Source organism: Homo sapiens, chromosome X (assembly GCF_000001405.40).
Source record: "Homo sapiens chromosome X, GRCh38.p14 Primary Assembly".
NCBI lineage: Eukaryota > Metazoa > Chordata > Mammalia > Primates > Hominidae > Homo > Homo sapiens.
The window spans coordinates 132,902,564-132,921,130 of NC_000023.11; the positions used below are offsets into that span (position 1 = coordinate 132,902,564).

An 18,567-nucleotide genomic window follows, 5' to 3' on the forward strand; every position below is an offset into this window, starting at 1 on the left:
ATGAAGGATGTAAAGACCTTACTTTGGCATCCAACAAGGAGGCTCATTGTATGTAGGGTGAAAAACAAGAAGGCCCTCCTCTAACTGGGAAGCTTGTAGTCTTTCCAAAATCATGCATATCTTAGAAGGATAAAATGGAGCAGGCTTTAAGAAGGAAGTCTACAATTTCCAAAGCAGCAAGACCACCTAAATCCATCCTGATAATCAATAGCTTAAAGAAAAAAGGAGAATGGACTTCCTCAACCTGATAAAGAATAACTAGAAAAAACCCACAACTAACATCAGACTCCATGGTGAAAGAATGATACTTTCCCCTTGAGATCAGAAACAAGACAAGGATAATTTTTCTAGCCACTTTTATTCAACATTGTACTGGAAGTTTTAGGTAGGCCAATTAGGCAAGATAAGGAAATACAGGCACCCCAGTTGGAAAAGAGGATGTAAAACTATTTGCAGATGACATGATCTTGTATATAGAAAATCCTAAGGAATAAAGTAAACATTTATTAGAACTAATAAACAATTTTAATAAGGTTGCAGGATACATGACCAATATCCAACAATAATTTTATATCTATATAGTAGCAATGGACAAACCAAAAATGAAATTAAGAACACTGTTCCATTTACAATAGCATCGCTAGAAATTAAATACTTAGGAATAAATTTAATAAAATAAGCCTAAAATTTATACTCTGAAAACTAAAATACATTGCAGAAAGAAATTAAAGAGGACCTAAATAAATGGGAAAACATCCCATGTGCATGAATCAGAAAACTTGATATTGTTAACATGACAATACTCCCCTAATTGATCTACAGATGCAATGTAATCCCTATCAAAATCTTACTTTTCTTTGCAGAAATCAATGAGTTGATCATAAAATTCACATAGAACTATAAAAGACCCAGAATATCCAAAACAATCATGAAAACCAGAACAAAGTTGGAGGACTCACTTCTCAATTTCAAAACATTAATCAAGACAATAAAATATGGTGTTGGCATAAGTATAGATAAATACAATTAAGAGTCCAGATCCTCATATTTTTAGTCAATGATTGTCAACAAGGGTGCTAAAACAGTGGGGAAAAATCCAGTGAGAAAATAATAGCCTTTGTTTTACATCACAATATCAATTTTTATTACATAGGATTTGTGACCATTATTTTGCAGCATAAAAACATGACTTTCTTGTTTTCATGCTAATATTTCACAATCTATAATATATAGTTTCTTAAAAGATAAACTCAAAAAAGTAGTTTTTAACCACAATTCTGTTACTTGGTTTTTAAAAATTACTATATGTTATGTTGCAGTAATTGATATGCTCATTTTATAGATTAGTCATAGCATACATACAATGTTCTCATCCATATGTACAAATTAAAGACTGCAGTAAGCACCCATGTGGCCATGGCCCAAAGGTAGCCTCCCTCAGGTCCCTCTAGTCATCAACTTCCCCTCCCTCACCAAGAGGTCTCCACTTCTTCACTTTTGTGATCATTATCTTCTTGCTGCTTGCTACCTAATATAGCAATATTAAGTAGCAATAAATTAGGTATTACTACCTAATATAGATGGAAAGAAATTAGGCATTGCCAAGTAATATCTAATTTACCACCTAATATAGTTTAGTTTCTCCTGTTTATGAACTTCATATAAATGGAGTTATATTTTAAATTTTTTTGATTTGCCCTTCTCAGTTAATATTGTGAAACTTAGCCTCGTGTGTTGTTTAGCATTCCATTGTATGAATATATCATAAGTTGCCCATAGTCCTATTGTTAAAAGTTTCCGGCTTTTACTATTAAAAACTATGAATATTCTCATTTTGCGTCTCATAGTGCAATATCTAAGGTCAACAGTTATGAGGTCATTCCTGGGTCAAAAGAGTATGCATATCTTCCACTTTATTAGAGTGTCAAACTGTTTCCTTCTTTCCTTTTTTATTTTCTTTTTTTTCTCTTTGTGTGTGTGTGTGTGTGTGTGTGTGTATAGAGACAGGGTCTCACTCTCGCTCAGGCCGTAATGCAGTGGCACAACCTCGAACTCCTGGGCTCAAGGCACCCTCCCACCTCAGCCTCCTTAGCAGCTGGGACTACAGGCCCACACCACCAGGCCCAGCTATTTTTTTTTTTTTTGTAAAGACAGAGATCTCGCTATGTGGCCCAGGCTGGTCTCAAACTCCTGGTCTCAAGCAATCCTCCCACATTGGCCTCCCAAAGTGCTGAGATTACAGGTGTGAGCAACCACAGCCGGCCCCAAACTGTTTTCTAACCTGCTTGTACCAGCTTACACTCACAGAATTGAGTAAAACTCCATCCCCACAGTACCAAGGCTTGGTGCTTTGGACATTTTTAGTTTTGCCAATCTCATGGTATAATGGTGCCGCATCGTGATTTTAATATGCATTTTTGATTACTAATAAGGCCAAATGCAGTTTTTGTTTATTGCCCATTTACTCTTCTCTTTTTGTATAGTACTTAATGGTCTTTCCCATATTTATTTATTTATTTATTTTTCCCAGCTATAGTTCTTCTCTATGTATTCCAGATAACCAACAAACACTGTTGTAATGCTTTTGCAAATATCTTCTTCCAACTTGTGGTTGGTCTTGTTATGATCCTTATGACATCTTTTGAAGAACAAAATGACTTCACTTCAATGAAACTGAATATATGAACTTTTCCTTTACAGTTATTGCTTCAATGGCTTGTTGAAGAAGTTATTTTCTATCCTGAGGTCATGGAGACACTCTCCTATATTATCTATCTTTAAAGAGCATTTTAGCTTTACTTTTCACACCTAGATTTTTCATAAATCTGGAATTTATTTTTTGTGCATATGATAAGGTAGTAATCTGGGAAAAATTTTTCCACACATGGCTGTCAAATTGTTCTACCACACTTTGAAAAGTCAATTCTTTCACCACTGATCTGCAATTTCTCCTCTAAGAAATGTCAAATTCCATGTATTCCTGGATCTGTTTCTCAAATTCTGTTCCACTGGTCTGGACAACTACTACAACGCTAACACAAAGTCTTATTTATTATAGCCTGACATTTGGAGGGGCAAGTATGCCCATTTTGTTGTTTAAGAATACCTTGTCAGCTGAGGTGGGAGGATCACTTGAGCCAAGGAATTTGAGACCAGCCTGGGCAACACAGGGAGACCCCATCTCTATATTAAAAAAAATTAAAAGAATATTTTGTCTTAATTTAGCTATTTCCGTTACCTCACAAGTTTAAGAATCAGCTTAACAGCCTAGGCAACATAGTGGGACACTGTGTCTATGAAAAAATGTTTTTAATTAGCCAGGTGTGGTGGTGTAGGCCTGCAGTCCCAGCTACTCAGGAGGCTCAGGTGGGAGGATCACTTGAGTCTGGGAGGTTGAGGCTACAGTGAGCCGAGATCATGCCACTGCATTCCAGCCTGGGTGACAAAGGAAGACACTGTTTCAAAAAAAAAGGAATCAGATTAACAAATCCCACAAAAATACTTGAGGTTTTGATTGCAATTACACTGGATCTGTGGATCAATTTGGGGAGAATTACCAGTTTTATAATATCACGTCATCTAATCTACAAGTGCAGTCTATCTGCCCACTTAGCTAGCTCATGTTGAATGCTTCTCAATAAAGCTTTATAAACTTCAAAGAGGTCTTGCATGGCTTTTGTTAGGTTTTTCCTAAACACTTAATGTTTTTTGGTAACACTGCAAATGACATATTTCTCTAAATGTTATTTTTTGTATATTGAAATGCAATTGATTTTTGTACTGAATTTATATCCAACTTCTTAAACATTGTTAATTCTAAACATTTATTGTAATAAATCCATAAGAATAATTGTGGATTTTCTATTTGTACAATCATATCTATGCAACATAAAAGTTTTGCTTCTTTCTCAATTCTCATATTATTTTATTTTTCTCACTGATACAGTTTGAATATTTGCCCCTTCCAATCTCATGTTGAAATTTCATCCCCAGTGTTAGAGGTGGGGCCTGATGGGAGGTGTTTGGGCCATGAGGGTAGATCCCTCGTGAATGGGCTTGGTGCTATCCTCATGATAATGACTGAGTTCTCACTCTAGCAGGTCCCTCAAGAAGTGATTTTTTTTTCTTTTTGTTTTTTGAGATGGAGTCTCACTCTGTTGCCCAGACTGGAGTGGCTCACTGCAACCTCTGCCTCCCGGGTTCAAGCAATTCTCCTGCCTCAGCCTCCCGAGTAGCTGGAATTACAGGCACCCACCACGCCCAGTTAATTTTTATATTTTTAATAGACACAGGGTTTTACCATGATGGCCAGGCTGATCTTGAACTCCTGACCTCAGGTGATCTGCCCACCTCGGCCTCCCAAAGTGCTGGGATTACAGGCATGAGCCGCCATGCCCAGCCAAGAAGTGATTCAGAAACAGAGCCCAGCACTCCCTCTCTACTCTCTTCCTCTCTCACACAATGTGATGTCTGCTCTCCCTTGCCTTCTGCCATTAGTGGAAGCTTTCTGAGGTCATCCCAGAAGCAGATGCCAGCACCACATTTCTTGTACTGCCTACAGAACCATAAGCCAAATAAAACCTCTTTTCTTTATAAATTACCCAGCTTCAGTTTCCTTTATAGCAACATAAATGGACTAAGACACTTGTTTCCCTGTGCTATCTAGGGGTACAGTAAATTATTAAAGGGCCAACCAAAGGCACCCTTGTCTTGTGCCTTTCTGAAATTTCCTCCAACAACTCTATGAGTTTAACAGCCAAACCAAGATATGGAAATTTTGGGCAACAGAAAGAGCTGTGGCATAACGGTGCCATTCTTCCCTAGCTACTGAACCTTCTGCTTTACCCACAATACAATCCATTAACTTTCCACTAGATGCCTCTGCAATGATAAAATACTCTGGCAAGATATTGTAAGTAAAAAGGAATCTTGTAAGTTTCTGTAAGTGTCTCCAAGTTAATGCTGTTGAAACTGAACGGGTCATTACAGATGAAGCCCCAGAGCATGGTCATCATGCCACCATCACTGAGGCCTGCTTGCCACAACCTCATACTCACCTCACTGGAAGTTGCCCCATGCATGGCTGCTATGGGGCAGGGAGGGAACTGTTAACAATAGCCTTTTCAGCAAATGATTCTGGGTCAAGTCGACGTCCACATGCAAATGGACAAAGATGGACCCCTACTTTATGCCATATTCAAAAATTAACTTGAAATCGATCGGAGACAGAAATGTAAGAGCTAAAACAATAAAACTCTTAGAAGAAAACACAGTTGTAAATCTTCATGTCCTTGGATAGGCAATGACTTCTTAGCTATGATGCCAAAAACACAAACAACAAAAGAAAAAACACATAAACTGGAAATCATCAAAATTTTAAACTTTCATGCTTCAAAGAACATCAAGAAAGAAAACTCACAGAATGGGAGGAAGTTTTTGCAAATCCTGTCACTGATAAAAGACTTGTACCTAGACTATATAAAGAACAATTATAACTCAATAACTTAAGACAAGTAATCCAATTTTCAAATAAGCAAAGAATCTGAATAGATATTTCTCTATATAAAATATACAAATAGAAATTAAGCAGATAAAGATGATCAATATAATTAATCATTAGGAAAATGCAAATCAAAACTTCAGTGAGGTAACCCTTCACAAACCTGCTAAGACAGCTATTTGAAAAAGACAGATTATAACAAGTGTTGGAAAGGATGTGGAGAAACTGAAACCCTCATACATTGCTGGTGTAAATATAAAATGGTGCAGCTACATTGGAAAACAGCCTGACAATTCCTCAAATGATTAAACACAGAGTTATCACATGACCCAGCAATTCTACTCCATGAGAAATGAAAACAAATGTCTGCACAAAGAGTTGTACACAAATCATAGCAGCATTATTCACAATAGTTAAAAACTGAAAACAATCTGAATGTCCATCAACCAATGAATGAATAAATAAATTGTGCATTCATGCAATGGAATGTTATTCAGCAATAAAATGAAATGAATTGCTGCTTGATGCTACAACATGTTGAACCAAGAAGACAGTCACAAAGGACCACACACTGCATTTGTCCATTTATGTGAAATTATCAGAATGCACAAATCTCTAGAAACAGAAAGTAGATTAGTAGTTGCCTAGAGGTGTGAGGAATGGGGAGACTAGGAGTGAAGGCTAAAGAGTGAGGGGTTTCTTTTCTGGGGAATTATAATATTCTAAAATTGATTGTGGTTTTGGATGTACAACTTCGTAAATATACTAAAAACCACTGAATTTTAGCCTTTAAATGGGAAATTGTATGGTATGTGAATTACACATCAAAAAAGTAGCTGACTTATATATGGGTTTCTTGTGCCATTGCTTTCCTAAACTAGAAAGGATAGAAGTATTTCAAAGCCAGACCCATTGAAGAACTCCACTGAAAAAAAAAAAAAAAAAAAAAAACCAACTCCACTGGAAGCCCAGGTTTGGGATTAGGCACTTACAGGGCCTGCAGTTTGCTGGACTTCACCCAGCATGGAGCCAGTCACCAGGCTGTCATTTCTGATTAGAGACAATGGGTAGCTATGAGGTGTTACAGCCTGGCTACCATATAAATGTGATTTTCTGCCTGAGCAAATTCTGCTCTAATTAAGTAAAATATTTTTAAATGATTATCAAAACAGGGCTACTCCTCAGTTCTCTCAAAACATGAAAATGCCAAAATTTTAATGCCTGGGGGTTTCCCAAAGTGAGTTGAACACGCTCTTGTTTCCTGAACTGAGGCAGACAGAGGTTTTTCAACTGTCAGCTCCACACGGATTCAATTTACCTCATGGCCCGGTGGCTACACACTGGTATATTTGCCACAGCTAAAGTGGAATTAGCAACACAAGACTATATAGTAGGACTAAATGCAAAGAAGTAAGCAAACACTGTGCCTTTATTAAGAGCTATTGATTGGAACTCTTTTTTAAAAACAAAACTTTAAGATTACTTTTTTTTCTACACTCATGAAAATAGAATGCTTTCCTGAGGCTGAGGAAGGTACGGAGGAAGGGGTACACACTGTGAAGTCATTCCTCAAACCATAACAAATTGAAAGCTGTGGTTTAATATATGACCCAGATGGTCAGTTTTGTAATGATTTTACATTTACAGTATCTTATATTTTTCCTGGGGCATTATATTTCATTTGGCAATAGTTCTTACCCTGGTTTCCCTCCAGCTGCATTTCAAAGGCAAAAAATGTACATTACTTCATCTTGTGGTTTAATCTTGGTATACGAAACATTACATCAGCAGCAACAATTTCTTGTAATCACCTCTGTCCTGTAGCAAGGTCCTTAGGGAGATAGTATTTCGTGCATCATAATTTAACCACCACCAAGAATGATCATCACTTAAATAGCTACAGAGGTGGAAATAAATGAGGACATCAGACGCCCGCACCCATCCTGCTTAAACTACATTCTTCACTGGACAGAAGATGATGATCATTGAGCATAAATTTCTAATATTTTCACGTTCGCTCTACCATTTGCCATCTGGAATCCTGAAAGCCTTCAAATTCGGTCCTGAACCTTATAATGAGAACATTTTATTCGTTTCTTTCTAATTCTTGTAAAAACTGGTTGCCATGAATCTAGACTGTTACCAACAGTTCCTGGAATTTTAGTTAAGAATAAACTGTAGATCCAAACAAATCTAAGCATCCTATTTTAGTAAAATGCTTTCTACTTTATAGCTGGAACAAATCATCCCAGAACCAATTCTTGTTCACCAGTTTTGCATGGTCAACACTGAATATGAAAGAACATAACCTTGAAAAGTATGATCACCCAGGAAAAAAAAGGGAGGCGAGGAACAAGAAGCCTAGATTTGGGCTCCATTATCTTTTCTCAGTGAGCAATGTAAAGGCAACTTATATATATTCTTTCAAAGAGCATGATTTTCTTTAAGTCACTACTAAAGAACACCCTGATGATCAGTACTATGGAGAATTTAGATTTTGTTAGTGCCTTCACTAATCCCATTGATGAAATTACAATTGTATTAGAAAGAAGAATGGTAGGCATTTTATGCCTATCAGACATAAAGCAGGAAAGTAAAACTTGCAGAGTCAAAGGGAAGTCAGTTCCAGGGCAGAAAGTAAAATCCTGGCCTTATATTCCTTTGTTCCAGGGCGTATCCAACACAGGGATGGTTTTATATTTCTAGTACTGGTTCCTTGCCTTTCGTCCATTTGCCTCGGTAAATACAAGCCTCTAATGGAATAGGAATCCTGCAGCATGACATATGTTAAAAATCTTAGAAGGGGCTGGGTGTGGTAGCTCACGCTTGTAATCCCAACACTTTGGGAGGCCGAGGCGGGTGGTTCACTTGAGGTCAGGAGTTTGAGACCAGCCTGGCCAACATGGTGAAACCCCGTCTCTACTAAAAATACAAAAATTAGCCGGGTGTGGTGGCACATGCCTGTAATCCCAGCTACCAGGGAGGCTGAGGCAGGAGAATCACTTGAACTCGGGAGGCAGAGGTTGCATTGAGCTGAGATTGCAGCACTGCACTCCAGCCTGGGTGACAGAGCGAGACGCTATCTCAAAAAAAAAAAAAAAACTTAGAGGGGAAATATTTATCAGTATTTTACCAGTAGCCTGGTCTCATGGGCACATAAAAGACCATTCCTAACTCATTTCCTTCCCACCGCTCCTGGCCCCCTAACCATCCTGATCCCATCCTGCTCCTACCAAAAACTCAGCAGACAAACAAGCTTGAAGGGAAGTTTCATGACATGAGCCTCTGCTGCTAACTCTTGAATTAGATACACCAACAAAGCAGTAATTGTCCATTGGGAGTTCCAGACAGCAATGGGTCTGTCAAAGAATTACCTCTAAAAAAAGGACTTAGGCAAGCACATCATCAGGCAAGGACATTTATCCCAGGGACAAATCAACCTCAGGGTCTTTGCAATTGTGATTACTTCAGCCTGGACTTCCCCTGGCTTTGCTATGGCTAATTCTTTCCCATGATCCCTTAGATTTCAGTTTAAATGTGACCTCTTTAGAGCTGCCTTTCGTGAGCACACACTCTTTTTTTTTTTTTTTTTTGAGACGGAGTCTCGCTCTGTTGTCCAGGCTGGAGTGCAGTGGCCCATCTCGGCTCACTGCAAGCTCCACCTCCCAGGTTCACGCCATTCTCCTGCCTCAGCCTCCTGAGTAGCTGGGACTACAGGTGCCCGCCACCACGCCTGGCTAATTTTTTGTATTTTTAGTAGAGACAGGGTTTCACTGTGTTAGCCAGGATGGTTGCGATCTCCTGACCTCGTGATCTGCCTGTCTCGGCCTCCCAAAGTGCTGGGATTACAGGCGTCAGCCACCACACCTGGCCTCATGAGCACACACTCTTAAGGAATTCTCTCCTCCTCCAACCACAAAACACTCTATCATATATCCCTGTAGTTACGTCCACAGACTCTGGAATCAGACAAACACTGGCTACTGCCGCTCACTAGTGTAGCCTGGGGCAAATCACTTGTCCTCTTGAGTCTCCTGACCCATATCTGTATGATCTCCATTGCAAAGTAACAATAAAGCCTAAAGAGAAGCAAACACTAAATTGAAAATTAGGTAGCCTACCCTTTAGGTCTGTTCTGCAACTAACCTGGTAGGTGACCTGAAACAAGTTGCTTCCCCTCATGGGGCATCAGTTTCCTCTTATGTTCATTGGAGGGACTGGATTTGATGAAAGTCACCTGTTCTGCATCTGGACAGTCTGTGTTTTCACATTTCTGTCCCAAGATCACAGCTGCCCCAGTGTTGGTCCTAACCTGGGACCACTTGGGCTATCCCCTCCCTCTCCCAAATACCATTCAATTCAACTCAATACAATGCATGATTTAATACATGTAGGCTGTGGCATCCTGCTTTATATGGAGCTAGAAAGGTATTTTATAACCAACAAAGGAGTCAGGGTCATCTGTAGTTCATGGTACAGAATTTAACCCTCTGTGATTGTGCTAACATTTCTCTTGGAACTTTCCTGACAAATCCAAATGCTCATCTTTGTGCTCTTCCATTTGATAAATTTTGTCCCTTTTACTGACCCATTGTAAAATCTCCCAACTCATGGCTCAGATGGGGCTCTATTCTGCTTTTGCTCCTGCCTCTGTGTACTGCTCATAGCAGCAGAAGGCAGACAAGTCTTAGGCAGACAGGGGCAAGTCCCTGATAAAACCCCACCTTCAAACCATAGACAGTTTAAAGCTTGAAAGCCAAGCTACAAGTCCTAGATAAATCCATGGACAAAATTGAGAACCTCTCTTCCCATCTGGCATGCTTTCCTTTAATTGATCCCCACCCTTCACCTATTTTACATATACCTACCCTTCCCTAATTGGCTTTTTATACTGTCGTGCCCACCTTTGAGTGGTGCCCTTGTTTTAGCCTTTTTTGAATACTCACAAACCAATCAGCGTGCATCCCCTTCCGAGTCCATAAAAACCCCGGACTCAGCCACACTTTGGGACCACCACTCGAGGGCTGGCCTCTCGAGTCCCCTCTCTACTGAGAGCTGCCATGCAATAAAACTCTCCTCACACTTCAGTTGTCAACGTACCCTCATTCTTCTTGGATGTGGGACAAGAACTCAGAACCTGCCAAACGTGGGTACAAAGAAGGCTGTAAAACTGTAGCCCTCTGCCCTCCGCCAGTGCCAGGCAGCCACTTCATGCTCCAGGAAGCAGCAGCAGGGCCAGCCTAGCCCTGGGGCTGCGGGCTGGAGCAGGGCAACAGGACTGAAAGAGCTGTTAACACACCCCTGTTTGCTCAGGCTGTGGATGGTGGGACTAAAACAACTGTTAGCACACTGTAACACCCCCTCTGGGGCTTTGAGGTTGTTGGCATCCCTGTTCAGATGCCACTGTGTTCCCCTCATCCAGATGTCAGCACACAAGGGGGAAGCTGGTTGCAGCATGCCCGGCCCAGCTGCAGGCTGAGTGTGGATCCTGTGGCAAGTGTGGGATCTGGGCAGGAGTGCAAGCCAAGCACAGCCCCCTGGGCCAAGTGAGCAGGGTGCCTCCTGTGGCAAGCCCAGGGCCTGAGTGAGATCCAGGCATGGCCATCGCTGGCTGCAGAGGTCTCCAGCTGGCAAAGTTACACTGAAAAATCCTCTGTCACTGATTTTCCTGGTGAAGTGCTTGTCCCCACTACCCTTAGGTGGCATCTTCCACAACTCAGCCCTCCCCACTTAGTCAACCACAATTTATAAGCCCCAGTCCTATGAGGATTGAGGTTATAGCAAGTAAAATGAGTTCACAGTTCCTGATTTGGGATTGGGGAATATGTTACCCATAAAGGGCCTGTTCCACCAAATCAAACAGGATTATATATTGTCCTGGCATATGACGGCTGATTAACCAGCCCCTCTCCCCCTCTCCTGCTCCCTCAGGCTTCCCACTGCCTGCTCTAAAATGCTGTCCTTTCACCCAGCCTTTTCAATACTGACTTACTAAGTTACTATGGAATTATTTCCATTGAATTACACAAAACTCACTGACTAAACAACTTAGACAAAAATGTGATTTTTTGTGCTTCAATAATAAAAGCAAACCTTCTGTTTAACCCATTCTGCTCTCCCAGAGGGAGAAAAAGATTAAGGTGTCATGATGTTGCTAATAGTTACTTCCTTCCCTGACAGTGTGCTTTCTGTATTATATCATCATTTTATTAAACCCACATATAAATGCTTAAATTGACCAGGGAGTTTTGGAATCCACTGACAATTACCACCTCCATAATCTCCCTGTGAATAAGGCAAAAAGGGGACCTCATCTGACAAGACCAAATCATGTAACTTCTGGCTCTGAAGCCTGTCTGTGTGCAGAATTAAGGGTAATCATAGCCTACAGCATTTAAGCCTAACCACCAAATGTTCTTTAGAATCCTAAACTTGTCTGCAGGGTGGTTTACTAATAATTGTGTGTTTAGTTATTTTTTTCCTTTTAACTAAGTGAAATTAACAGCACAGAGCTTGCCAACTCTGTAGATGGAAACTTTCTATTCATTCACAAGAGGGAAACTCAGGGGCATGGCAGGACCATTTTTTGGGCAGCCATCTAACCAACACAACAGCCCTGACCTGGGGGGCACAAGGCCAGAATTCAGAAGATTCAATATCTTGATGCGACTAGATCATTGCTTTCTGAACCTCAGCGGACATCCAAAGGGCCTGCTGAGCTGGGCTTGCTCTCTCAAACACACAAAAGGGACCAAACAAGTTGGTAGGGTTTATGCTTTCCTTTTACATTTTTAAGTATTAAGATTTATAACCATTTTTGTGCCAGCTTAAAAATGATCAAACATTTAAACTTCAGAGAAGTCACATGTCACCACATTTTTAAAAGGAAAGATGTATTTTCAAAGGGAAAATTGCAGCATGCAGCATGCAAAATTGCAGGTCAAGAAGCAGCCAAGTGAAATGAGTCCTTGAGGCTCTCCTGTAACCAGCCTGAACTGGACACAGATTACCCAAAGCAGCAGCTAATCCCCACATTAGCCACTGGACTGTTCCTCAGCTCCTCCTTGGTTTGGCACTCTCACTAGCAGTGCAGGAAGCACTGCCATCGGCCATTAGCCCATTGTTAAACCTTAACTGTCTCTGTTATGATAAAACACCCAATGCTCAGTATAAGGCCATCCTCAGGGCTCAGGGCTCAGGGCTCAGGCTATGGCACCAACTTGTAGTTGAAATCACCCAATGACACGGGGTTTCTGGGATATCAATGACTCAACGTCCCTGGTGAAGGTGAGCTGCTTTCAGCAATAAAATGATGTTCTTGCAAGCTTCTAGTGAATAACTCTTTCCTCAAGACGTATCTTTAGATTTATGTTTTGCTTTAATGTGTAACAACATTGAATGAGTAAATCAGGACCCACGGATGGTCTTCTCAGTTCTGTTAACTGTCTGCATGATCTTGAGCCAATTGCTTATCCTCCCTGGGTATCAGTTTTCTCATCCATAAAATGGAGGTGATTGTCTTAATAATGATGATAATAATGATGATGATGATATCCTCCTTGCTCCACCTAACAAGCTGTGGTAAAGATGTAAGGAAAAGGAGAATATAAAATTGTTCTGTAAAATGTTAAGGGCTATAGTAACATAAAATGTTCTTATCATTGGTAACTTTTTTTTTTTTTTGAGAGAGAGTCTCTCTCTGTTGCCCAGGCCAGAGTGCAATGGTGCAATCTCAGCTCACTGCAACCTCCACCTCCCAGGTTCAAGCTATTCTCCTGCCTCAGCCCCCCGAGTAGCTGGGATTACAGGTGTGTGCCACCACGCCCGGCTATTTTTTTTTTTTGTATTTTTAGTAGAGACAGGGTTTCACCACATTGGTCAGGCTGGTCTCGAACTCCTGACCTCGTGATCCACCTGCCTCGGCCTCCCAAAGTGCTGGGATTACAGACGTGAGCCACTGGGCCCAGCCTATCATTGGTAACTTTTAATAAGATGGGTTTACAATTCCTGCATGCAAACCAAGTCATGGCAAAGGAAAGCTGGGCTGGTATGCAATATGGCTGTAGACAAAAGGTACTGTAACATTGTGAAGAGAACTGGAGTGGCAGTCAAGAAGCCTGAGTTCTAGCCCCAGCCCTGCTGCTAACTATCTGTATGACCTTCTCCTGTCTGGACCTCTACAGAAGAAATGGGTTAGATTAGGTCAATTTTCAAACTCTGTAGGAGCAGAAATCTGTGACATGAAACCATAGGCATTAGCCCAATCTATAAAATAGCAATGAAACAGTGCTTACCCAATTGTGTAAAATTATACTGTTTAACAGAAAACATTATATTTCTTTAATTTGATGATGGACAGTGTGATGGTTAATATTAAGTGTCAACTTGATTGGATTACGGATGCAAAGTATTGTTCCTGGATATGTTTGTGAGGGTGTTGCCATAGGAGATTAACATTTGAGTCAGCAGAGTGTTATGGGTAGACCCACCCTCAATCTGGGTGAGCACTATCCAACTGGCTGCCAGCGTGGCTAGAACAAAGCAGGAAGAAGAAGGTGGAATTAGCTGACTTCCTAGTCTTCCAGCTTTCATCTTTCTCCTGTGCTGGATGCTTCCTGCCCCTGAACATCAGACTCCGGATTCTTCAGCTTTTGGAGTCTGGGACTTACACCAGTGGTTTACCAAGGGCTCTCAGGCCTTCAGCCACAGATTGAAGGTTGTACTGTCTGCTTCCCTACTTTTGAGGTTGTGGGACTCAAACTGAGCCACTACTGGCTTCCTTGCTCCTCAGCTTGCAGATGGCCTATCGTGGGACTTCACCTCGTGATCGTGTGAGTCAATTCTCCTTAATGAACTCCCTTTCATATATATACATCTATCCTATTAGTTCTGTTCCTCCAGAGAACCCTAATACTGTATTTAATTGAAGTTCATATCTAAAATAAGGATGGGTCTTAGAATGACTGCATACATTCTTTTAATATTCCTGAAATGCCAGTATTAATTGATGGTGCAAACTACAACTAATGGCATCTTAGCATCAAGAACATATGGTGCTTTGGATTTTCCCTGACCTTGATGTCCCTTCTCCAAACAGTTGAGATCTGGGGAACATAGTTTGAAAACTACTGGACTAGAAGATTTCTAGGGGGCATTACAAATCTGACATTCTATGGTTTAAATACCATACACATGACTATGAGAAATGGTGGCAAGGTTCTGTCCAAGCATATTCAAAACATGACCATGTTGAGGCTGGGCATGGTGGCTTACACCTGTATTCCCACCACTTTGGAAGGCTGAGGCGGGCGGATCACTTGAGGCCAGGAGTTTGAGACCAGTTTGGCCAACATGATGAAATCATGTCTCTACTAAAAACACAAAAAATTAGCGGGGCATGGTGGTGTGTGCCTGTAGTCCCAGCTACTTGGGAGGCTGAGGCAGGAGAATCGCTTGAACCCGGGAACCGGAAGTTGCAGTGAGCAAAGACTGCACCACTGCACTCCAGCCTGGGTGGAGACTCCCTCTCAAAAAAAAAAAAAAGACCCTGTTGAAAGATGTTTCTTTTGTGACTAAAATGACCAGCTCTAAAGGCAGTTCTCAAAGAGAGGATTTCAAGAAGTTAGAGCCACCTTTACATGGTTGGAAATGCTGTGTATCTTTACAAGGTGACCTGTCAAAAGGCACACATCTCATTTAGAGCCACATTTAAACAGAGCCACGTGACCCCACAGGAGAGGGAATGTGTTTCCGCTTTAAGGTGAGAAAAGCTTAAGAAAGTCCTGGGCCTGCCTGACCAGGGACAAATGGGGTAGCTAGAGCCCAATTAGCTGCAGTGTGGTTAATAACCATGATAACTACCCTTACTGTGTGCAACACACTTTATCCATGATCTCCTCAACACAAGTCCAGGAGTGTAAAAAGACAGGCACTGTCCTCCCCATTTTAGAGATGATGAAACTGAAGACCTGACAACTGAAATAGATTGCCCAAAATTTCCCAGCTAATAAACAGCAGTGCTAGTGATTTAAACTGCTTCTTCAGGGTTCAGAGTCCACATCAACTCCTATTTCATTGCATGCCCATAGGCCTTACAATACGGAGCCCCCAAGCAACCTTAGCTCTGTTTGGAATCAGGTTTGTTTTAACAGAGGGGCTTCTTTTGGTGGCAATGAACATGTCACTCTCACTGCAATGTGTGGAGGGTCTTATTCCTTAAGTGTGGTCTCCCCCTATGAAATCTTCAGAATCTCTGAAAGTTTCCCAAACTGTCCCTTCTGGAAGAGCCAGATGAGAGACACAGGGGCAACCCTGGTAGCTTGATTAAACCAAGCCATAATGATGGCATAGACCTTGAGAGGCAGTTTTGCCAGGAAGACAAAGCGTGTCTTTCTGACAGCTATAGATGGACAAAAAGCTAAGACACTTGGTGCTGAGGGCCAGAAATTTTTTAAACTGGACACTAGCAGCCATAATTTCTAAGATGGGAGGTATTTTCCCCTACCCCTTCAGAAAGCCTTCAGAAGTACAATTCAACTGGAGCCCATTTGCTACCTGCTTGGAATGTGATCAGGTGGGACATGATCTCTCTTCCTGGGTGGTCTTAGTGAAGCCCAGCTGGCTTCTCTATTTGCTCTGGAAAAAGCCCCACAGCCTACTGACAGCCAGCCAAACAGTCACCCTGTTAATGGTCCCTGTTCTAAATACAATTGGCAGGTTAGCTCAGAATAAATGGCCTGCTGAAGGCAAGAAAGCCCTGCTAACTCTTCTGATGACACCTTCAGATTGACCATAGGTCCACACCACTTCTTTATGCTCAGTCCTTAATTATTCATGCTAACAGAGGGGAACAATGTCAATGACTATCTAGAAAAAGAGATAATGAGAGGATAATTCCTACTGGGTGGTGGACTATGTTTGATGATGACTTTACAAAATTACCTTCCCAATTATGTTTTCTTTAATGAATCGTGAAATAAGTTGCCTTTTCTGGTTTGGCAGTGGCAGAGAGTCTTTAATGAGATGTGTATAATAGGGGGAGGGACTCCTCTGACCAATTCTCCATAGTTAACCACTAGCAGACTAGACCGCTGCAGGACTAGCAGCACATACAACCAACTGTCACTATGAAAAGACTGGCTAATCATTTAATGCAAGTGGCTAGAATATTCACTTAATCCCATAGGCACAACCATAGTTTAACATGACAATAGAAAATAAAAGATGAGATGCGATTTTCAAATTTCCTGTACCATAAAGTCACATAAACTCTCTGCTCTGAATGGGTCAATTTCCATGATAAAATTTTTCCATTTTAGGACTTCTCTAAGAAGACAGAAAACAGCATCACTGACTTCCAAAAGCCTAAGAAAGACTCTCTGGAGTTTTTCCTGAAACATAATATAGGTTTCATGTTAATTATTTCTTGAGATTTATAGGAGCTGAAAAACTAAAGAAAATGTGAAATTATTGAAAAGGGATATTTTGTGCAGCTTCCCTTTCTTAACATCTGCATACAGCCCTTTGATAGAGCATATTAAGGTACAGTTTTTACAACTTTGATCTTGCATTAGTGAATTCCTTCAAGTCAAATGCACTTCATTTTGTCCCTCACTCTTGAGTTGTAAATGGCCATTGGAAATCTCAGAAGAACTGGACACTCAGGCTACAAAGCAGCCATCCAAGGTGTGATTGTTCTGTTGCCATTGGGAGGCATTTCGCTGGGCAAATTTCTGCCCTTGTAAGCACTTCTTCTCACTGAAACGATTTAAAGCTGCCTGAACACATTTGAAAACCTGATTTACCCTTTAAGATTTCATTTGATTGATCTTCCCAGCACTTCTCTCCAGAGAGAGCCAGCTGTAAGCATTAGTCAGCGTACGGAAAACCCTGGAAAGATGAACAAAGAACAACCCCCGTGATTAGTTGCTAAATTAAAGAGGGAAGAAAACAAATTCTACCAAATGTCAACAGAGCTCAGCATTCTCCCCTGAATGAAGCCACACTCCAGCAGTGGGAGGTAGACGGTGGGGGGCTGGCTGAAGACTGGAAAGTGACATGGAAGTAAAAATTAAAAATTTCTGAGATAGATTCGGCCCGTCCATCCACCCACCAAAAGGATAGGATGCCTTCCTCTTCTTGTCTCCTGAAGTCTGGCCATCCCAGATACAGTAGGTCTCAGAAAGCACAGCAGGCTCCTTCTTTAAGGTGGAAATGAAAATGCCTGGTCCTGGAAGTGTGTCAATCTCCTGAAACCACCCAAGGCACTGCATCCCATTCCCAGGACAGGTACAGTATCATCGATGCTTACACCTCCGTGAGAATGTGCACACAGTAACCATCTACCAAACCCCAACTTAAAACACAGAAAAAAAAATCTGGAAGAAAAAGGAAATGGCAAAACATCTTTTAGGTACAGGATATAGAACAAATTGTTGATCGATGTACACTAAAATTCTCAGTAATTCAAACGTAAAAGCAACATGAGCAAGGGATTTTGGACTGATGGGACCCAGACTAGCTAACATTTTGATTTAAAAGAAAAAAAACAGTGAGGCATCTTATCTGCCAGAGACTCTGAAAGAATAGACATCAAGTTATTGGGGTTTTAGCGTAAATGACATGAAAAAGCTTGTCTGGTCCAAGAGCCAATACTTTTGGCATGTTGGATGCCTGCGCAGCTAGCTAACCAGCAACTGGCTAGATGGATGGAGGAGACAATAACTGTAGGCAGCTCCATCTGCATGGGTTGGTCCCTACTACTGGTCCACCAGTACTCTAAGCTCTTGGCTCTTCAGTCCTCACATTGTTTTGCCCCTGCCTCTGCTCCCACCCAATATAAAGGCAATCTAACCACAGAAGGTCTGTTACTTTATCCTACATTGAAAGCCCCTTAACAATGGATTGACATGCCCAAAGGTGTATTTGAGAGATATCATCTTGGCTGCAGTATAGACAGTGGAGTGGAGAATAAAGAGCAGGTAGACTACATGAAAGCTATTGCAATAATCTCTGCAGTGAAATGATGAAGGCTTCAGCTAAAGTGGTGGCAACAGAAACAGACATGA

The 18,567-nt window shown here is 41.2% G+C and overlaps 1 protein-coding gene and 1 pseudogene across 10 annotated transcripts in view; both read right to left on the reverse strand.

Moving 5' to 3' along the window:
- Window positions 1-18,567, reverse strand: part of HS6ST2 (heparan sulfate 6-O-sulfotransferase 2) — a 335,356-nt gene that overhangs the window by 276,549 nt on the left and 40,240 nt on the right. The window lies entirely within an intron of this gene.
- NAA20P1 (NAA20 pseudogene 1) lies at window positions 4,588-6,427 on the reverse strand (annotated as a pseudogene).